The sequence below is a fragment of the Homo sapiens genome, chromosome 11 (assembly GCF_000001405.40).
Source record: "Homo sapiens chromosome 11, GRCh38.p14 Primary Assembly".
NCBI classification, from domain to species: Eukaryota; Metazoa; Chordata; class Mammalia; order Primates; family Hominidae; genus Homo; species Homo sapiens.
In genome coordinates, this window is record NC_000011.10 from 81,878,592 (window position 1) to 81,902,294 (window position 23,703).

A 23,703-nucleotide genomic window follows, 5' to 3' on the forward strand; every position below is an offset into this window, starting at 1 on the left:
TTTTTGTATTTTTAGTAGAGACAGGGTTTCATCATGTTGGCCAGGCTGGTCTTCAACTCCTGACTTCAGGTGATTTGCCCACCTTGCCTTCCCAAAGTGCTGGTATTACAGGCGTGAGCCACCATGCCCAGTCATCCCCAAACTCTCAAATGTAATCTTTGCTCACCTTGGCAATTTAAATTGTCTATAGATCTGTACCATTACTTTATGAGGCCAGTAACATTTTCTGAATTGGCAGAGTTAGTTTTCCAGAAGTTTTTGTCACCAACACACTTTAGTCATGTCCTGGAATTTAGGTGTTTTATTCTGAGTTTAATATGTAATGACTTCCTCCTTAGGTACTTCAAGCTCCCTGGTAAAGAACAGGCTAAATCCAGAGAAATGCTTTATATTTGCAACTATAATGCTAAAACCATCTTTCTCCTCTAATTCAGAACTATGAGCCACATATTGTGTCCCAGAGAAAGGCCAAGAGCAAATCATAATGCTGGATGAAGAGGACAAGGTGCTCCATGATGAAACAAAGACAGCCCTGTTCAGAAAGAAATCCACTTACTGGGCTTCTTTCCATGACCCTAAGGATTCACAAGTTATCCTGGAGGTGCAGCTACAAAACGGAGGCTACAACATAGTCCAGGAAATGTGACACAACCGTCTTGCAGTTTGAATTTATATTGTTCATGTCTCTTTATTCTTTTGAAAAAAATAGTATGTCTGTAGGGCTGGAGGGAGCATTATACATTTAGATAGAAAAACATGAAATTTCTCTTTTGTAGGAAACTAATGACCATACATCAATATATAATCTGAACTAACATATTTATTTAATGGTGTTTAACCATTCATTCTGTTAGTATTTAATTTTAAAAAACAATAATTAAGCAAGTTCTTTTTTGCTAGGCAATGTATCTGACATTATGTAAACTTAATAAAACTAAGGTCCCAATCTTAGTAGCTTACAATCTTGTGAACATAACAGTGTGACTAGTGCTAAGTTAGACATGGGCATCTGCTTCTATGAAACCAGGAATGGCGATGGTGCTTAATTCAGATTGGTGAGGTCATAAAATTCTCTAGAAAGGACACTAGCCAAATTTGAAAGAGAAAATATTGCATTAGATATTTGACAGAGGAATAAATATCTACACATAAAAATCTGTGAACTTATAGAGGCTTAAAGGATTGATAAATATTTTAGGGACTACAGATAGTTTAATGACTAGTGCTTATGAAATATTGTAAAGAATGACAATAGTCAGGACGGTGTATTAGCTATTTATTACTATGTAACAAATTACTTAAGAGTTTAAAACCACATTTATTATTTTACAGGTTTTAAGGGTCAGGATTTGGAAGCATGTTACCTGGATGGCTCAAGGTCTCTCATAAGTTGCAATGTTGCTGGATCATTTGAATACTGGACTGGGGCTGGAAGATTTACTTTCAAGAAGAATCATTCACATGACTGTTCTCTGAGAGACAGAGACCAAGATGGAAGCATGGAAGCCTTAGTCTTTTATACCCTAATCTCATAAGCGACTTAACATCACTTCTGCCATACTTACACAGACCAATCCTGTGTGGAAGAAGACAAAACAAGGGTATGAATTTCAGGAAGTGATGATAATTGAAAGTCATATTGAGGCTGCCTATCATAGAAGGTAACATGTAGTAAAAGAAAGACACTAAGTGAAAATTACAAAGTAAGGCGTATATAAATTACTAGATTGAAAACAAATAGCTTTCAGCAAATGTACATATTTGCTTTTGCATTTTCAACTTACTCAAAATATATATCCTTGACTTTTGCATCTCAAATTTACACCTAGACCAGTTTTATAAAAATGAAGAAAAGTGTGGAAAATAAGCCATTTTCTCCAACAAGATCTTATTCAGCTGAACTGTGACAATCACTTACTTCTATAGAAACATGAAGCTTAAATGGATAGTCATGATTATTCAGCCAATCACTTCATAGTACAAGTGAGAGAACTTACGTTTATGTGCAAATTCATATCTGCAGCTCATTAATTATCTGCGCTGAAATAAAATTCCATCCTGAGCCCCTGCCCTACTTTATATCTTCTGCCCTGCACTGCCTTCTTTATAGCCACACATTGCAGGATTGTCCAACTGAGTCTGCATATTTTTCACTGTCTATAGAGTTGTGCTGTTCAACAAGGTAGCCACTAGGGTACATGTGATTATTTAAATTTCAGTTTAAGTTTGTATGTATTAAATACAATTTTAAAAACATCAAGAATTCATGTCCCCCATTGTACTAGGCACATTTTAAGTGCTCAATAGCCACATATGGCTAGAACTGCCATGTTGGACAGTAACGACAGAGAACACCTCCATCGTCACCAATAGTTTTATTGAATAGCACTGATCTGTAGTATATCTCAAATTACCTTTCATTTTCCCTATGAGAATATGATAGACTAAATACTATGATTCACTCAAATCCAAACATTTTTCCCCTTATGCTTAAATATCTGTGATATAGGTTAGACTGTGGCATTTAAGGGATAATTAATTTTGAAAGGCCAAGATGAATATTTTAATTGGTTGTTCCACATCCTTTATAAAAATATCCATGACTATTTAATTAAACTTCAGGAACAATTAATTAATTAGACCACAACTGAAGGGAAACACTTTATAAGAACAGAGCTCTATTCTTTGCAATGATTTTGTTTTGGTTTGGTTTATGTTGAAAAACCTAATGACTAAGAGAAATTAAGTGCAATACTACATTTTCCTTAGTCTGGGCTTTTCTATCTGTTTCCTAAGCTTTTATAAAAGCCACCTATTTGGTTGTCCTGCTTTCATCTTACCCCACTGTAGTTCACCCTCATGACTAGCAAATTAATTTTTCTAAAACACTAATCTAATCAAATCCTTCCTCTTAATAAGGTATTGAATCATTGATAAAATATAACTCCTTAACATGCTACAGTAAGGTCTGCATAACCAGAAATCAATCCACCTCTCTATGCCTGTTTCCCACCATTCTTCCAAACTCATCATCCTTTTCTTTTCCTTATTTCCAAAACTCATAAAGCCCTTCCTTCCTTTTAAGGTTTTGCATATGCTATTGTTTTTCTTCCTTTAAAAAATCCATATATATTCTCTAAGACTCAGCTTAAATTTTACTACTACCTACACTTTATTAGACAAAGTTAATAAGCTGTTCTTTGTGCTGTCTCAGTTATAACACATAAACCAAGAGATAATTATAGCACTTTCTAACTTATATGAAAATGTCTCCACCTTCTGCTATTCTATACACTTTTAAATAATAACTATAACTATTGATTAATGACTGTGAATAGCATTTATCACAGTGCCAGCCCTAAAACTTAGTTTGAAAATGAATAAATGGATGGACAGATAGATAGTTGGATGGATGAGTGAATGAATGAACAAATGAATGAATACACAAGTACAGATAAGTAATCCAAGAGAAACAATCTAGGGTATGTTATGCTTTAATGAACACTAATTAGTAGTGAGCATCAATTGGAATCTCTTCTATGTTTTGGTGAACAGTACCTACCTCAAACTTCATTGTTACAGCCACAAGTTTCAGGAAATAATATAATAAAAACATGATTGAATCTTGCTGCTCCTGCTGAATGAATGACAACTGGACATCTGGTCTATGCTTGTCAAACTAGCTGTTCCCAATAAAATTTAGATCTGAAATTAGAAAATCTCACCTTTGGTTTCGCTCCTTTTGAAAAATGAAGGTAGATACATTACCAAATGAAGCAAGAATTGATTTCCTTTATAAGTAATTAAAACAGCCCCAAATAATATAGCATCCATTTAAATAGATTCATTTAAAGAAATGAAGCAGTATCATAAAAAGCTTCTGCTAGTACTTTAATTAAAAGATTCTTAAGAAGAGCCTTTTAGACATCTGCTGCATTGTCTCACTTCACCAATCTCAGACTCAATCTCTTATCTTACATTTTCTTCTTTTAATGCTGCATTATTTCTGTGTAGTTATTTCTCTATTTATTTTTGTCCAATCTTATATTTCTTGGTGCTTTCTTTACTCCCAGGTGTTTCTATAGGAAGCCTATAACTCTATTCAAGAACTTTATCTACTCACTGCTGTTTTAATGCAACAAGTCATGCTCTTTCTTTAAATCTCTGTATACATTTAACGTGCTGTTGGAATTTTAATTACACAAAAGCAATGAACTACTATAATGTCATATATTTAACAATCATCATACGTTGCCTGTTGGAACGTGGCTTGCAACTAATTTTTTTTTTTTTTTTAACGGAGTCTCGCTCTTTCGCCAGACAGGAGTGCAGTGGCATGATCTCAGCTCACTGCAACCTCCGCCTCCTGGGTTCAAGTGATTCTCCTCCCTCAGCCTCCCGAGTAGCTGGGACTACAGGCACACACCACCATGCCCAGCTAATTTTTGTACTTTTAGTACAGATGGGGTTTCATCATGTTGGCCAAGAGGGTCTCGAACTCCTGAGCTCATGATCTGCCTGCCTCAGCCTCCCAAACTGCTGGGATTACAGGCGTGAGGCACCATGCCCAGCTGCAACTAATTCTCTAAATTTGCTGCTGGTCAAGATTCAGCTTATATTATAATGTTGCTTAGAATATTTTTGTGTGTGTGAGCTCACACTGGCCTGCAAAACTCCCAAAATATTAGTATAGTTCATTTTAGTTTTATAAGCATTTACTGAGGAGCTATCATTTGTTAGTCACTCTGTTAGTTCTCTTTTATCAAGTGGATCAAAATACATAATGAGAGATGGATATAGGAAAAGGCAATTGCAATAGAGTTGCTCACAGAGATATGCATGATAAGTAGGGAAAACAAGAATGAGCATAATCCTCAAGTTATCTGAAAATATATTAATAGGAACTATGATTATCCTCTATAACTTGGGAATATGTGGCAAGGTGGATAATAGGAGAAGATACTGGGCAGTCAGGCAGGGTTACAGTTTATGAAGGCTCTGAGCTTTATCCTATAGGCAGTGGGTATTAATTAAAGGATGTTAACTAGAAATATTATATTATTACATAGGTATTTATTAATAATTTTGATACATAACTTCTTTGTTTACAAAATTACAAAAATCTGATACTTGGCAAATGAAAATTTACTCCAATCCCACTCTGTAGATATAATCACTGTTAATAGTTTAGTATCAATATTCAACATTTCCCTATGTACTTAATATTATTGAAAACATTGAATCTTGGTACATATACACTTCTGGAATTTGTTTTTGTCAATAAATTATAGAATATATAGAATGTCAATACAGACCATTTTGCATTTTGCATTCTTTTGTAACAGCTGCAGAGCATGTATTTCATTATTTATATGCAACATAATTCACTTACACAGATCTCTTGGTGAACATTTAAATTATTCCTGCTTATTTATTCAAATGGTACTGTGGCACACAATTTTCTATATATATCTGCTCTGTTTGCTCCTTTTTCTTTGAAATAAATTCTAAGAGTCTGTGGGTCAAAGACAGGGCTACCACATTGAATTATTCCAGAAGACATCATTCTTGTTGTAATCTAAGGGAATAGTATCTCTAAAATTATACAGCGCATAGCCTCCAACTTTAACACTCTTAAACATTATGTTATATTGCTTCTTGGTATGTGCTATACATTGTTCTCAGTGTTTCACATGCAAAAACTCATTTTTTTAAACAACATCATGAAATGGATATTTTATGCCCATTTTACAGATGAGATATGTAATGCTTACAGGGTTAAATGATGTGTACATATTCACATTAAGCTTTCAATGAAATGTGAATTTTGGTAGATAAATACAATGGAATGTCAATTGTAGAAAATCAGGAACTACAAAATATGCTTCAAAACCTAGTGCCAGAGCACCTCTTGGGAGACAAATAAGTTAATATTGAGTCTGCAAAAATGTATTGTAAAGAAACAAAGAAAAAAAAAACCTACTAATGAAATTCCCTTCCACAAATCCACTGAATTCACCGTATCAGAGGGAAGTGGAATGAAACTCTCAGGCCAGCAGTGGAAACTGTAAATCTGGGGCTTGTGTCATGGCATTAAATTATAGAGTCAGAAATAAGGATCTAAAGCCCGTCAGTGGTATAAATAACTGAAAAGAAATTACAGTCTAAAACGGGCTGCATACATATTTAAAAAGTGCTGTGTATACTGCTTGGAAAAATATATGATGCTAAATCTAATAGCCCCATCTTGCTTCCTAGCTCTTAAGCAGTAATTTAAAGGCCCAGCATCTTGAAAGGGGACAAAAAGGATCATGAATATCCTGAACACATGTAAAGTTAAGATATACTAATGACTGCTATGGTATAAATGAAGGGCCATCTCTTAGAGCCATGCTATTCTTTATTCTGTAATAAATGATGCTTATTATATTAAATAAACAAGATAGTCCTGCAGGTCTCACGTTTTAAGAATAAGTCCTTGTGTGTCTTTCTACCCTCTTGTCTTTTTTATAGGGTGCAAGGACAGAGCTCTTAAAGTTCATTTCAGGCTCAAATGGATTATATAAATACATATCCACATAGACTTTTTATTTTCATCTTAAAGACACAACAGTAGATTCATCTTATTGCTGTTATATTTGCCTACAATATCACTCTATTTTATCATGGAGAAAAAATACAATTTTTATTAGTTGTCTTTGGCATAAAGAATAATAAAAATGCCCTTTCAAAAAATAATTCAAAATTATGAAGTATTAGTTTCATTCCTATTTAATGATATTCACTAAAGATCTCTCTGAAAAAAAGCATATTTTTCAAGAGAAATTGGGAGAGAAAGCAACCTGATCAGGAAAGAACATTTATTTTAAAAGTTTTTTATTTCTCATATGAAATGACATTTCTATGAAAATTGAAGTGTAGATGCTCTTAGTTGGTAAGTTAAATGCTTCTAAATGTCACCTTTAAACATTCAAAAATTGGTTATTTAGTTATTTTATCATAAATAGGTTTATTGCTGAGTACGCTGGGAAAAAAATATGTTAGGTAAGAGGTTTCTGAATCTTCCTGAAACATCACTTCCCTTTGTATCTTTCCACTGTGAAGAATTTAAAATTTTGTGCAACTATTCTCAGAATCTTCACTGAATTACTGGAAGACTCCCACACAAATTTACAGTTTATAAAAATGCTGGAAGAAATTGAAATGTTGGCATATATTAGATTTCAGCAAGTAAAGCGAACTGGCTAATTTATGTCAGTCAGGCCAGAGGATAGGTATATGTGTAGAACTCTTTTCACTTGAAATGCGGTATTAATGGTTAAGAAGGGATACATACTGGGAACCCAAATCCCATCCCAGGCCTTTTCTTCTACTACACTATGCTTGCCTCCTCTACTGCCAGTTCTGATGGCATTTCCAAGCACTTCTCTAGAAATCAACTCCTGTTTAATAGGATTCTGGATGGAAACAGATGGTACACCCAAAAAGAAAGAAAGACAGAGAGAGAGAGAGAGAGAGAGAGAGAGAGAGAACTCTTTACAGATTTGTGCAGAGAGATAAAGAAATCAACAAGAGACAGCTAAGCACTCATGCATGAACTATTTTAGGGAGTCTTTGTCACTCAACTGGATGACCAAAAGGACAGTGGAAGGGAGAAGACTTTCTGGAAGTTGTGGCCAGGAGAGTTTAATCATCTGAGGGAAACCGTGGTCATTGGTAGAGCAACACAGCCACTGTCCCTATCAAGGCACTACTGTCCCATGATCTGTCAGGGAGAAGGTGAGGGAAATCAATAGCCTAAAATCTCTGTTCTTGCCTCTCCTGAGCCTACAAAAGTAAAAGCAGTCTTTTGAATAGCAAAGAATAGATCTGGTATCAATTTTGCCACCCACCACTACCAGTGTCTTTCTTTAAGTGAGAAACATACATACAATCTATGTTACCACAAAGAGAAAACAGTCATGTTAGTCACTGTGTCACTGCAGGGTGTTCACTTCAGTGATATTCAGTGATATCATTGAAATCTCATTATGAAACTAGCCACCGTCTGTGCTCTACATATAAGAAAGCTGAGCCAAGAATGGTGGCTGACACCTGTAATCCCAGCACCTTGAGAGGCCAAGGCAGGAGGATTCCTTTAAGCCAGGAAATTCAGGCTGCAGTGAGTTATGATTGAATCACTGCACTCAAGTCTGGGTGAAAGAGTGAGAAGAAAGAAAGAGAGAAAGAAAGAAAGAAGAAAAAAGGAAAGGAAAGGAAGAGTAAAAGAGAGACAGAGAGAAAGAGAGAAAGGAGTCAGAGAGAAAGTTGTGTGTGAGGATACGGTTAGAGTAGAGAAAATGGTTTAAGCCAATAACCCACTGTGATTGTCCCTGCCTCTGTAGCTGGTCACAAAAATTAGGCTGATAATCATGGATCATCATTCCACTTACTTTTTTCCATTCCTTTGGCCTTCTGTCAGAACTTAGCTGCTAGAGCTATTTAATCTGGTGGGATAACCTTAATTGTCTCAAGCTTACAGTTCCTTGTGGCATTCTTCATAGGACTGCACTTTTTCATGTGCCACTATTTGTGGATATGGAAGTACTGAGATATGTATCAATGATCTAATGGACTCCAAGCATGATTCTCATTCCTTCTTTGTGGAACTGCCATCAACTTGTATTCTTCCCTTGAGATCTAATACCTAAATCTAAATCTAAGATTGTAAGAATGTAGGAATGAAAAGCAAAATATCTTTAAATGTGTGTTTAGATATCACAGTTGAATGCATTCTTGAATGGCCTCTGAATCTCAGCAGTTCTGGATAGCATCGCCGTGTGGACCGTGACTGGCTGAGTGATATTGTTGAAATATAATGACATTGTCTGGAACTCACTTTTTCATCTATAAACTAGAATATAAATTTGAAGATCTCTTCCATCACTAATATTCTTTCATTATATGATTATAATACCAATTAATTGCAACCAAAGACATCTAGATATTTTATGACTTTCAGGGGAAAGATGCAGAAGCATAGAATAGCAAAAATAGTAATGATATCAGCTAATATTTGTAGAGCATTTATTTTGTGCACAATACAATGCTAAATCCTTTGCATGTGTTATTTCATTTAATCCTCAAACAACCTGTCTGCAAAAGTACTGCTTTTTTCAGACTTTACTTCAGTAACCCAGATTAATAATTTAAATTCAGGCAATTTAATCTAGTAATTAAACACAGAATGTTTGAGAACTAAAATAAATTGCCTGCTGTAAGCCAGAGGGTCAGAATGATTGATGGCTCAGCAGTTTCTGTCTCCATTAAGATATCTAAAATGTTTATAAATAATATACTATTCAGCCACATTATGAAAGAATGAAATAAGAAATGAGTTTGGCTTTTTAAAAAAAACTTACATGGGCTACTGTTTTCTAAGCTACCTATTATAAAACACTTAACATGCTAGGGACTTCCGCTATAGTGTATTTATTATCATATATAGAAATTCTATGGAATATTGATCACGAGCTCCATTTTACTTGCAAAGAGACTTATAGAAGAAAAATAACTTGCCTGAGTTTATACATCTAGTAAATGCTGGGTTTAGGGTTTCTCCTGAAGTCTAACCTAACCTGAAAACTGTATTCCTTACAGCTGGTCTTTCTTTTCATCTTAGACAATATCTACAGTGGAGTAAGTATTGATGGGAGTAGGTTATGCTGTACTCAGGGCTTAGCCTCAAGCAAGATTGGAGTGAAATTTGCAAGCAAACAACCCCATTCTGGACTTGTGAAACCGGCCCAATTGTCCCGTAAAGCTGATGTTGTTTCTTTGAATAAGCATAGAAATTGATCCTCTCAGTCTTAAAACTTGAGAAAGTTTCCTTTGTCTTACCTGAGTTCCTTTCTCAGGGAACCAACCATCAGGTCTCTCAGATAATATCACAGAGCAGAAACACAGCAGGTCACTGCTGTTGGACAGTGAGACATGAAACTCCTCAACTGTCATGATTGCATAACCAACCATCTGCTTCCTGTTGACCAACTCCTCTTCCTTACCCTTTTCTAATTCCTGTTTTCCGACTCATGGTTACATTTTTTCCTTGCTATACAAATCCCTAACTTTAGTTGGTCAGGGAGATGGATTTGAGACTGATCTCCCATCTCCTTTCTTGCAGCACCCAATTAAAGCCTTCTTCCTTCCAATACTCATTGTCACAGTGATTGGCTTTCTGTTTGGCAAGTAGCAGAACTTAGATCAAACTCCTGGTGTTTTGGTAACACTTACAACGTCCGTCCTCTTTCTTATCCATATCCAGGCTTAAGTGTTCAACACAGTCATGGTAATGATTTGACCACCACCTCTAAAATACCTAAAATGCCCTTATTTTCAGGTGATCTAAAAGGATGATAAAGACTGGAGGTTGCACAAATGTTCTGCAAACAGCTGGCACTAAAATACAAGAAGGGGCATCTTGTAGATTTACTCATTCTTAGGACTCACAGGTGACACAAAGTCTTCTCAGGCTTCAGGACGTACAGCGAACTGTAAAAAACTAGCTGTTGACACCCTTTGTTTCCTAGTTAAAAGAGCTAAGCATCTCATCTCCAAACTTTGGATATGGTAATACATCAGGGTACACTTCCAGTGAAATTGCCATAGATTTTACAATTATCTGCTAGCACAGGTGATATACTTTCAGCTTTCCTATTTGATATATAAATCAAAGATCTAGCTCAACTTGGATATCAAAGACCCAATTTAACCTTTCAAATATAACACATGGGCCTATTCACCCACCTAATCCATCTCTCAACTTATTTCTATGGAAATAGCCAAAGAATTATAAGTACCAAGGACAATTTGAATTTACTTGAGAAATGATAGTTTATTCAATAAATGGTGCTATGACAGTTGGTTAACCAGTATTCAAATAAAAAGCATTTAATCCCTACCTCATACCATAAAACAACAAATTCCAAATAAACTTAAAATAAGATCATTTAATAGAAGTTTAAAGAAAAGTTAATATGTATTAATGTAGCCTAAATGAAAGCTTTTCTAGGCTTTTAAGGAAAAGAAAAAATTATAAATAAAAATTGAAAAGTAAATTATGAAAAGAATATAAGGGTGAGCCAAAAATAACATAAGTAAATTTTAAGCCAAATACTAGCTTAAACCAACCTAATAACCAACCTATAACAATAACACATACACACACACACACACACACACACACACACACACACACTGAGAGAGAGAGCGAGAGAGAGAAATGTTTCCTAATATATGACAAAACTGAATATCTGCTAACATAAACAAAAATATGTCCCCAATAAAAGCATATAAGACAGCAAGAAAAGTTGAGCAAAGATAAAAAAAATACAAACCGTCAATAAGTACATTAAGATGCCCAAATCTATTGCTACTAAACGAGGGCAATTTAAAGCAGCACTGAAAATATTTTTATTTAACATATTAACATGACATTAAGTGGAATAAACGCAGCATAAAAGTGAAACTACTCTGTGTTATTATATTTTTAAAATGTTAAGATTATGATCTCAAAGTAATAATAATAATGGTCATTTAAAATTTTAACACAGTTTTGCATTTTTAAATTAAAAGGTATTTTAATAATAAAGCATATGTTATAATACAAGTTTTCATACAGGTCATAATCTGTTTTCACAAGACAAACTGCATGATTTTTGGTGATCTTGACAGTCACTAAAACTCAGATCCATATCAAATTGATAATTTGATAAGCCACTAATTAGCACATGCTCTGTGTAGGGCCCTGAGGTAAGAAAAGCCTTAGTCTACCTGTACACAGAGCTGATGTTTTCTGTCACAGAATATTGAGGTATTTTATGTATCATCACAATTTTAATATATTATCTCATTTAATAAATCAACAGCTCTGCTAGGAAGGTGTTATTGACAGCACCATATAGAAGATAACTAGAAATGAAATGTACTTCACTTACAGAAACCCAAGGGAAATGAGTAGACTAAGTCTTTGGCACTACCTCTAGCTAGAAAATGCTTTTATTTGGCTTCCAACAGCTTACTTACTAGTCCTGAGCCCCTCTGGGTGAATTTACGTCTAGTATTTATGTTTGAGCCAGGTGGTTATCTTTAAGTTACATTAGCATAGGCCATATTGGTTCAGAAGTAGTCCAGCTCCCACTGCTTTGAAAAAAGGTTTTTGATCACCTCATGTCTCTGCTGATTTAGCTGGCCCTCTTCTAAACTCATAGAAAACACTGGGGTTTTTTTTTTGTACCCCAGCATATATGACATCATCTTACTATTTTTGGAATATTTTGTGGGGTTTTTGTATTAATAAAATTTACTTAATTGTAATTGTATAGAATGTAATTTGTGACCTGGTTGTTGAACAAACTTCTAACAAAATTTCCTGAAATTTTAAAAAGCAGCTCTGATGAGTTAGTACAAAATCAGCTCTATCACAAAACTTTGTAACTCATATAACCAAAAGCTCTTTAGGGTTCCCTCAATTATTATTTTTAGTTACATTTTTGAAAGCGATATATAGTATTTGTACACATTTATGGAGTACATGTGATATTCTGATACATGCATGGAATGTGTAATGATCAAGTCAGGTATTCAGGATATCCATAATCTCAAACATTTATTATTTCTTTACATTCAAAACATTTCAAATCTTCTCTTCTACTTTAAAACAGAATATATATTGCTGTTAACTGTAGTCATTCTATTGTTCTATCAAACACTAGAACTGCTTCTTCTATCTAACTCTACATAAATAACCATTAACCAACCTCTCTGCATACTTCACTTTCTACATTCTTTCCGTTCTTTGATAAGTATCGTTCTATTCTTTCTCATTTGTGTGTGTGCTTTACCACTAAGTTTTAAAGTACCACACTTTAATGTGTTTTCATGATGGTAGGAGTCACCCTTTTATTTTCAGATGTATGACTCTCTTGAGCATTGTTTTGTGGGGCCAGTCTAGAGGTGATAAATTCTTTCAATTTTTCCTAGTCTTGAAAAGATTCCATTTCTTCATGATTTTTGAAAGGTAGTTTTTCTGGGTATGGTATTCTTGCTTGACATTTCCCTTTCAGCATTTTGAATATATTATCCCATTCTCACCTCCGCTGTGAGGTTTCTGCTGAGAAATCTGCCATTGGTTTGATGGGGATTCCTTTATATGTGACTTCATGCCTTTCATTTTCTGTCTTTAGATTTCTCTCTTTGTCTCTGACTTTTGAAAGTTTGATGATAATGTGCCTGGGAGAATACCTTTTTTGGTTGTATTTACTTGGGGATCCTTAAGCTCTTTGCATTTGGATATCTAACTCTCTTGTAAGGGTTGCAAAGTTTTCAGGGCTTTATTATTATTATTATTATTATTATTATTATTATTATTAAATAGGCTTTCTATGACATCTCCCATCTGTAATCCTTTTAGCACAATCCCAAAAATAAAATATTGCGTTACTTGACCGTGTTCCTTTGTCACTTAGGCTTTCTTCATTATTTTTTATTCTTTTTTTTCTTTTTGTTTAAGTTCAGAAATTTTTTTCCCTGCTTGATTTGATCTATTGTTGAAGCTCTGGATTGCATTTTTTATTTCATTTATGAATTAGTTCAAGCATTTCTGTTTGGTTCTTTTTTATGTTATGTAACTTGTTGAATTTATATTTCAGATCCTAAATTGTTTTTAAATTTTCTTTTGTTGTTTATCTGTATTCTCTTGTATCTCACTAAGCTTCTTTAATATCATTATTTGAATTCTTTTTCAGCCATCTCATAGAGGCTGATTTTTTCAGGTATTTCATAAACCTTTGTTGGAATCTGTTGCTGAAGAACTATTGTGGTCATTTGGAGGCCTCACATTTTCTTCCTTTTTTATGTTTTTCATGCCCTCAGTTTATATGTGCATATTTGGCATAACTGTTGCTTCTTTCCAATTATTTTGTATGAGCTTTTGTAGGAAAAGCCTTTTTCCTGAAGATATATCTATAGTATTGCTTGATTAAGGTATTTTAGCTTTGATTTTGGGTGAGTACAGCAGTGTAGTGTCTTTGTATGAGTTCTTTGGCTGTAATCAGCATCAGTGGTGTCTGTGAGTTCCTCAGTGGCTTAGGCTGTAGTTGTTAATGGAGTATGTGGTGAGGCTTTGCTGGGGATGGGTAAAACCCAGTGGTGATGGTGGCGGGCCAAACATGCCTGTCCTTGGGTCCACAGGTGGCATACATGAGTACCAGTGATAGTGGGTCCAGACAGGCCAATTCTTGGGTTTTCAGGTGGCTTCCTTGGGTGCTGGTAGTAGCAGTATTAAGCCAGGCAGGTAGCCGGGTAACTGAGCCACTGGGAAGCATGTGAGGTATTAGCAAATACAGTGGCAGTGGCAGGCCAACACTTGGGCTCCCAGGTGGCATGCACTAGTGCTTGCAATAATAGTGACAGCCTGGATAGGCCAGTCACCAGACCCCCAAGTGGTCTGTGTAAGTGAATACCCACAGTGGTGGTAGTATCAGGATGTGTGAGTCTATCCTCAGGCCCCCAGGAGGAGTATGTATGTGGACACTAGCAGTGGTAGGTGGGGCAAGGCAATTACCAGGCCCCCACTCAGTGTGCTCTGGCACTGACGATGAATGGGCTTGACTTATTGTCAGGCCTACCGATCGTGAATCTGCATGCCCATGGCAACAGATGGGGCAGATGGATTCCCAGGCCCATGGATGGTACACTCAGGTATTGCAGGGGTGGTGTGGCAGGCAGTGCAGGCCTGTCCTCAGACCCACAGTGTTGGACTGTGGTTGGCAGGGCAGGGTGATCTCCAGGGCCTGGTGTATCCAGGTGCCAGTGGTAGGCAGGCTGGGTCTTCCGTCAAGTCTCCTGATGGGGTTGGTCTCCAGGCCTACTGATGGCGCATGCTGGTGTCTGGCATCCCTGCTGCTGGGAGGCAGCATTGCTCTCAGTGGTAGGAACCCCTGCTGGCAGCTCTCAGGCTTTGGGGAGAGCACATTTTAGCTCTCTTTGTTTTGAGGGCATCCTCCTCAGTGCACTTTACCACATATTCCCTGAGGTGTACGACACTATGGTCCAGAGTGCTGAGGACCTGGACACACTGCTGGGTACAGCCAGCATTGCACTGCTGCAGCCCTCTGGGTTGATATGGGTGTATATCAGTGGGGGTCCAGAATGGGTAAAATAGGGTATATTGGGCCCCAGGGTACCCAGGGTAAAATGTAGTATAGTGAGGGCTGTCCTCTCCAAATGGTGCCATGCTGCAGCTCTTTAGGTCCAGGTAGTGTGTAGGATCCAGCATGAACTCCCTCTTTGGAAAAATGCTGTTACACAGATCTAGGCAGCTCTCTATACAAGTCTAAGGGCACTAGAGGACCAAGGAGCTCTCCTGTGGCTAGGATTACAGGAGTCTGTAATGGAACTGTAGACCACTGGGTATCTCTCACTTACCCTTTCCCCACATTGTGAAGCCTCTCTGAGCTCCCAGTAAATCTTGGCCAGTTGGCTGCCTCACTTCTCCCTCCTTTCATGCCTTACAAGTTCATTATCACTTCCTTGCTAAATTCCAGTGTTCTTTGTTAAATGCTCTATTTGCTGTGTGATTATCTACTTGCTCTTTTGGTCCTTTTCATGGTGACGACTGGATGCCTCTAGTCAGCCATCTTGAAGCCTCTCCCCTCAAAAATGTTAAAAGCATAAACTTGTTCTGAGATCCAAAGTTTGAGAGCCACTGTTCTAAGAATGATCTGTACACTGAAAGCTGGTGAAAGGTAATCAAGACTGGTGATTGGATTAAAGAAGAAATTTAAGAGGGAAAAGTGTGCTGAGCAATGAGAAGGGAATCAGGAGCCACAGAGAGGGGATTTTGTTAGCCTTGGTAAGTATTTCTTTTTTTGCCTACAAAATGGCTATCACTTTGAGTGTAAAGTTATATTTTATTTTCTTATGTATCTTTATATCCATAATATATATAATACAATCAAGTCTGTTGTTGCTGAATTACTGTTTCTTATGTAGAATCAATCTACAACATCAAAGAAATTTCAAAAAGTTTTTGCCTAGAAACCAGGGCTGCTTCAAAAGTGAATAATGTATATTTAAGTAAATATTCAGTCAAACTGTCTCCTCAGAGAACAGTGTATTTGTCTAAACCTATATTGTTGAATTAAGTTTAAAGTTCAAAGACTTTATTTCAAATTTATGGATTATGACTAATATATTGTCAATTACAGTGTAGTTTAACCAAGAGCATTGTGCACAGAGAGAACTCATAACTGTGTGTATAAGCGGATTGGGAAGCCTGGGTGATGAGAGCACTATGCTATGAAAGTGATTGCCACTTAACAAATATCTATCTATCTCTCCACCTACACATACACACACACACACACACACACACACACACACCCCTATACTATTTTAAATAGGAATATAGTCTGAGAGAAAACTAAAGCAGGAAAGGTGGATAGCAAGTATGAGAGGTGGAAGGTCTCATGTTTATTTAGGTTTATTAGATTTTTTATTTGATTTACTGTTATTAGGTTTATCAGAGAAGGCCATACTGATACATTCACATTTGAATAGAAGCCTAAGGGAGTGAAAGAGCTGTCACAGACATATCAGGTCCACATTCCAGAACAAAGATCTTTGCACCTGGTGTACTTGAAAAGTCTCCTGTCGTTTTAAGAATAAGAATCTCATAACCTCAAAAAGGTTTCTAGCAGTAAAAAGTTATTTTTGCTTACTTCATTAAGACTTAGATCTCTGATACGCCCTCTGTCAGTAATGGGCTTCAACTCTCAGTTCATTCATGGTCTTAGTTACCTACTTTTGGTTCTGAGCTGCATGTACCAATTTCCTAGCACTCAGTCATAAGTGTCATCTCTGAAACTACATGCAGGGCAAGGCCCAGGGCACATGAGAGTCAGAGAGCCATTTGTGGGAAACAGCACCTCAAATTCTAGTCTGTTCTTCAATTCTTGGTCTGGACATGGCTCGATCTGGTTGGCCTATTTCTAGACTTTGCCTCTTTTTGCCTGTGAAGGCAGACTCAAGAGTAGAAATATTGTGAATTGTGGAGTCAGACAGACCTGAGGCTGAATCCTCTTGTCGTCATTGACTGTGTGTGGTTTCAGGCAATGACTAAAGCTGTCAGGGCCTTGACTTTCTACAGCTGATAATAATGGTTATGATATCCACTTTTAAAGTTTCAAAATCATCTGAAGTTCTAGTAAAAATACAGATTGCTTGGCCCATTTCCCAGCATTAATAGTAGATCCCAGTAATTTGTATTGATAGCAATCTGCTAGATTATGCTGATGCTCCTGCTCTAGAGACCACATTTTGAAAACTATTGATAAAAATTGAAAATATTACAGAAGATGATTATCTTTATGCCTACTATGTGCCATTCACCATTCTACAGGCTTCATACAGGTAAAATACCTATAATCATGTTTGGCTTTCCTCCTACTACCAGTACTAGCTGTGATAATTCAGCATCAAAGTATTTGACCTCTGCTAGGGCTCAGTATACAACTTCTCTAGTCATTTATTAGTGCTTACTGCACACAGAGACCAATAAGAACAAAATTGGGAGGTGGGTTGGTTACATGAGCTTCTGAGCCATAAAAGGTTGGCTCCTAGCATTCTTGTTAATTATTTTATATTCTCTGGCCCTCGTTTGTCATATTTGTTTTTCTTATAATACAGATATTTTTATAAGTAGACTTAGTGACTAATGGAATTACCTTTCTAAAGGACAGCAAGCCACACACCTATGCCCATTTATCTATTGTTTCCAAGGAGTTGGCATCATTTTATATTAAATTGCTAATTGTTATTAATTACCTTGACATTTCTGGGAAGCACATTAATCTTAGCAGAGTCATTTTGTATTTCAGTGGGAGCATCACTTGCCTCCCATCAGAAGAAATTTCTTTCTTGAGGGCTATTCATAAATGTGTCATTTATTGTCAATCACCACTTACAGAAATGAAATCTAACATCTGGTGGAACATTGGTAAGGTCAAATATGTCAGGGCCAATTTCAGCCCCTTAATATTTAGATCAATCACTCAGTTCCCATGCAGCACCACTACAAAAATGAGAGTTTTAGAAGAAGGAATAAAGTATCCCACTACTGAATACATAAACAGATATTGATGCTATCAATAAAAATAGTAGTACTAATTGCTAATAGGCATTGTCTCTTGTTATGTGCCTGACAATATAATTAGTGCTTTACACGCACAATCACTTTTAATCTTTACCGTATTTTAATGGAGTGGATGTTGTATTGATTCCATTTTACAGATGAGGAAACTGAGCCTTATTATTATTATTATTAATATTATTATTAGCTTGCAAATAAAAATACTGTGACTTGAATCCATGTCAGCTTGATAACAAAATCTGAATTAACCACAGATAAGACATGGACCTTGCCACTGAAAAATCTAGAAACTTAATAAAGGAGGTGGTAGACATGTAGATAAACTGGAAGACCAATTGCAAAATCATATTCAAAAAACTAAGGAACCAATAAAGAATATGGGAATATCTGGGATTTGAGTGAGATTTAGGCATTCCATGTGTTTTGGATTCAAAGCTGAAGCCATAACTCAGTTTAGTCCTCATTTGCTAATTACCTTAGAAATGGTATTGAAATGTGCCTTGATTTCATTGCTTAAAATATGCATGGATAATATTATGTATATGTACCTCATAGTGAGGATAAGATCAGATAAAATAACATTCTTAGAACAACGGCTGCTATGTAATGGGTGTTGTACACATGGTAGTTCTTATTTGTGCAGCCTAACAATGATGAAAAAAATTGACCAATATGAAAGTAAGAAAATTCCAGGAGGGTACAGTGTGAGTAACTTGGTCAAAGTGTAGTCTATTACGCATGTTTGAGGAGGATGTCCAAGAGTGAATTGATTCTAGAGTGCATTAGGATATGTAGAAAGACGTAAGTAGGAAGAAAAATAGTGACTATCTTGGATGGAATCTGTGTGTTAGGCGAGGCAACCTCAATTATATTTAATATTTGGAAGTGAACAACTTAAGATTCCCTAGGGTTAATGTGTCATGAACACTGCTATACTATCAGAATGTAGGACCAAATGTAATGCATAGATTGGTGCAGAAAAATCTTACGGAGAGAAATTAATTAGGACACTGCTCCAGTAATTCCTAGGAGAGAAGAATCTGAGTCATCAGTGAGATTGAAATGAAGGCAGTGTTGGGAGGAGCAGAAAGCCTGGAAGAGGTGTTGAAATATTTGGTAAACTGATTGGATGTGAAGCAATGGAGACAGAAAGGAGTCAAAGATGACTGAGGTTTAATATATGAGTGCTGACTTTGCCTAGAGAAGAACACAATCCTTTACACCAAAACCGTGTTCACTTAGCCTTTTTAATGGAGCAGTGATAACATTTAGAATAACGTTCACTGAATACTTACAAGGTACTAGTTCTTCAGACATGTTATCCTATTTTCTTCCTCCAAAATCATAAAAAGTGATATCTTCTAATTTTAGAAAGGAGAAAACCCTATGGTACAGTAATTTCCTGAAGAACACACAATAGCAAGGCCTGGGTATAGTCTAGAATTACTTGACTTTAGCACCTAATACTCTTTCAGTTTCTCCACTGTGAATCTCAAAGAAGTGTGGTATTTTAGAGGTGACTCCCTACATGTTTCAGTGAAAGTCCAGGAAGTAATCCTGAGGACAAAAAAATTTTAAAATGAGCTGAAACTTAAAATGACCTTTCCAGTTTAAGTTCCCGAAAAACATAATTGGCATAATTTTAATAATAACTTCTATATTGATATACAACTTTACAATTAAAAATATTATTTATAAGCTCAATGCATTCTTATACTAGTCATGTAAAGTCAACAAGGCAGGTGCTATTATCAACATTTTATAGGTGATGACAATTGGGTTTGTAGACAGATGACAAATGATATCCAAGGTCATGCATTCAGAAAGTGGTAATACTGGACTCACACGCCAGTATCCAAACCACAACAGTGTTGTGTCATGTATTTCAAATAGTTGTAAATAAAAGAGTGTAACTTACTCTGCCATAAAAAATGGCTAAAAAAATTAAACTAATGCCAGAAATAACAGATATGTTTGTAAATAGCATTTTAGCAGGAGGCATAAGATGGAAGCACGCTTTAAGACTTTTTTTCTTTTTATGTTACATTAGTCAGACTCCTATACAAAACATTCTTGGTACCATTGTTCATTTTCCTTATATAAATACTGTACCTACCTTGGGGAAATTTCCACTTCTCAATCAACAATCACAATATTTTCAAAACATTGGGCATTCGAAAAGAAGGATAATAATATCTGGTAAGCAGAAAAGAAATGAGATGAGGCTTATTACTGTCCCAGCTTTATGCCTTAAGAGAGTTGTCAGGCTGCAGGGTAGAAAGAGGAAACTCAAACATAGCCTGGAATACTCCCTGAGTTGAGGAGATGGAAATAAAAAATATATGTTTATAGGATAGACTATGGAAGAGGAGAAAGATGAACAGAAAGAGAAACCCAAATGTCTTAGAAAGTAAGCCTCTAAGAACCCTCTAGAATTCAGTTGAGTACTGATTAGTGCATAAGTATGAAAAAAATACACATATCTGGACAAAAATTACCCAAAAGCTTAACAGAAGCAGTATCTGACACTGACAGAGGGCCAGGAATAGTGCCAGCTCCCACAAGTCAGAATGGAAAAACCTCAAGATTTATGGGCATTGAGCAGAGTACATAAAAGAGACTTGGCTCAGTAGTAGGGAGTAATTAGCCGTATAATTATTACTATTCCAGTCCCATCTAAAAATAATAACTGCAAGATGTAAAAGGATAGAACTATTTACAAATTAATCAACTTTGTTCTAGAACAAAGCTCAAGAGTATTTATGTGAATATGAAAAGTATCAAGCACCAAAAAGGTAAAATGTCTGGCATCCAATTAAAAATTACCGGTCACGAAAAGAAGCAGGAAAATAAAACCCTTCACGAGTAACTAAATCAATCAGAACTGACACAGATATTAGAATTAAGAGACAAGGGCAGTCAAAGAGCTTTTATAATTATATTCCATATGTTCAAAAAGTTAAGAGATATGAATGATTAAAGTAAGCAAAATTAAACTTCTAGTGATGATAACTACAGTGTCTAAGATGGAATGTTGTATAGATAAGACTAATGGCAAATTATACATTGCAGAAGAAAAGATTTGTAAACTTGAAGATGCAGCAATAAAACTATTCAAAATAAAACTGAAAGAAAAAGGAATAATTCAAGCATATCAGCAGAGTATTAGTTAGCTGTGGGACAAATCAAGTAGCCTAATATATATAATTAGAGGCTAGAGTGGGGAGGCTGAAGAGGATAAATACTGGAAGACAAAATGGCCCCAAATTATAAACACATAAGTGCAAAAACTAAATGAACCCTACATATTTAGGCAGAAAATAAAAATGATGCCACATGAAAATATAAAGCTGTGAAAATGAAAACGTACACTGATTAAGGTAACTACATGGGTAAATTGATAAGACTTATTTCTTACTTAAACTTTTTAAAGGATATATCTTTATTTTAATGAAATAACAAGGCAATGTTGAATTTGTTACACATATGGAAATGAAATATATGACAATACTAAAACAAAGGTCAGGAGGTAAGTAGTTGAATAATGCGATTGTAAAGCTTTTATGCTGCACGTGAAGTGGTATAATTTTACTTGAAAATAGTCTTTGGTAAGTTAAAGATGCGTACTATAAATCCTAAAATAGCCAATAAAATAATAAATAAGTATAGCTAATATACCAATATCTTAAACATTAATACATGTAATAACAGAGCTTCAAAGTCCATGAAGCGAAAATGAATAGAATTGCAAAGTAATTCAGAAATATCTACAATTATAGACAGGTGTATAAGTCTCTGTCTATGATTGTGGATATTTCTGAATTACTTTGCAGTTCTATACTTTTCAATATTTGGTGTACAAATAGAGATAATTATCCATGTACAAATAGAGACAATTATCAGTTAGGATATTAAAGATTATAACATTATCAACCAACTTGGCCTAATTGACATTAATAGAACATAACACTCAAAAGCAACAGAATATACATTGTTTGTATGTTCACATGGGCATGTAGAATATTTCCCAAGATATATCATATTCCAGGCCATAAAACAAGACTAAATACATTTAAAATGATTCATGTAATAAAAAGTATGTTACCTGATCACCGTAGAATTAAATTAAAACTCAATAATAGCACCCCCCAGTAGAGGCAGACTGACACCTCACACGGCCGGGTACTCCTCTGAGACAAAACTTCCAGAGGAACGATCAGGCAGCAACATTTGCTGTTCACCAATATCTGCTTGCTGTTCTGCAGCCTCCGCTGCTGATATCCAGGCAAACAGCGTCTGGAGTGGACTTCCAGAAAACTCCAACAGACCTGCAGCTGAGGGTCCCGACTGTTAGAGGAAAATTAACAAACAGAAAGGACATCCACAACAAAACCCCATATGTACGTCACCATCGTCAAACACCAAAGGTAGATAAAACCACAAAGATGAGGAAAAAACAGAGCAGAAAAACTGAAAATTCTAAAAATCACAGCACTTCTCCTCCTCCAAAGGAACACAGCTCCTCACCAGCAATGGAACAAAGCTGGACAGAGAATGACTTTGACAAGTTGAGAGAAGAAGGCTTCAGACAACCTAACTATTTCGAGCTAAAGGAGGAAGTTCGAACCCATTGCAAAGAAGTAAAAAACCTTGAAAAAAGATTAGATGAATGGCTAACTAGAATAACCAATGCAGAGAACTCCTTAAAGGACCTGACAGAGCTGAAAACCACGGCACGAGAACTACGTGATGAATGCACAAGCCTCAATAGCCGATTCGATCAACTGGAAGAAAGGGTATCAGTGATGGAAGATCAAATGAACGAAATGAAGCGAGAAGAGAAGTTTAGAGAAAAAAACAATAAAAAGAAACGAACAAAGCCTCCAAGAAATATGGGACTATGTGAAAAGACCAAATCTACATCTGATTTGTGTACCTTAAAGTGACGGGGAGAATGGAACAAAGTTACAAAACACTCTGCAGGTTATTATCCAGGAGAACTTCCCCAATCTAGCAAGGCAGGCCAACATTCAGATTCAGGAAATACAGAGAATGCCACAAAGATACTCCTTGAGAAGAGCAACTCCAAGACACATAATTGTCGGATTCACCAAAGTTGAAATGAAGGAAAAAATGTTAAGGGCAGCCAGAGAGAAAGGTCGGGTTACCCACAAAGGGAAGCCCATCAGACTAATAGCGGATCTCTCGGCAGAAACTCTACAAGCCAGAAGAGAGTGGGGGCCAATATTCAACATTCTTAAAGAAAAGAATTTTCAACACAGAATTTCGTATCCAGCCAAACTAAGCTTCATAAGTGAAGGAGAAATAAAATACTTTACAGACAAGCAAATGCTGAGAGATTTTGTCACAACCAGGCCTGCCCGAAAAGAGCCCCTGAAGGAAGCACTAAACATGGAAAGGAATAACCAGTACCAGCCACTGCAAAAACATGCCAAATTGTAAAGACCATCGAGGCTAGGAAGAAACTGCATCAACTAACAAGCAAAACAACC

At 36.1% G+C, this 23,703-nt stretch overlaps 1 long non-coding RNA gene and 1 other non-coding gene across 2 annotated transcripts in view; both read right to left on the minus strand.

The window, feature by feature from the left end:
* Nucleotides 1–1,259: 1,259 nt before the first annotated feature.
* MIR4300HG (MIR4300 host gene) overlaps nucleotides 1,260–23,703 on the minus strand; it is a 524,063-nt gene continuing 501,619 nt past the window's right edge. The window contains exons 7-8 of the long non-coding RNA NR_120571.1: nucleotides 3,563–3,705; nucleotides 1,260–1,576 (exon numbers count right to left, since the gene is read on the minus strand). This is a non-coding gene — a long non-coding RNA (MIR4300 host gene). The remainder of the gene's footprint in view (nucleotides 1,577–3,562; nucleotides 3,706–23,703) is intronic.
* On the minus strand, nucleotides 12,150–12,245 carry MIR4300 (microRNA 4300). The gene has a single exon (NR_036186.1). It is a non-coding gene; the product is annotated as a microRNA 4300 (primary transcript).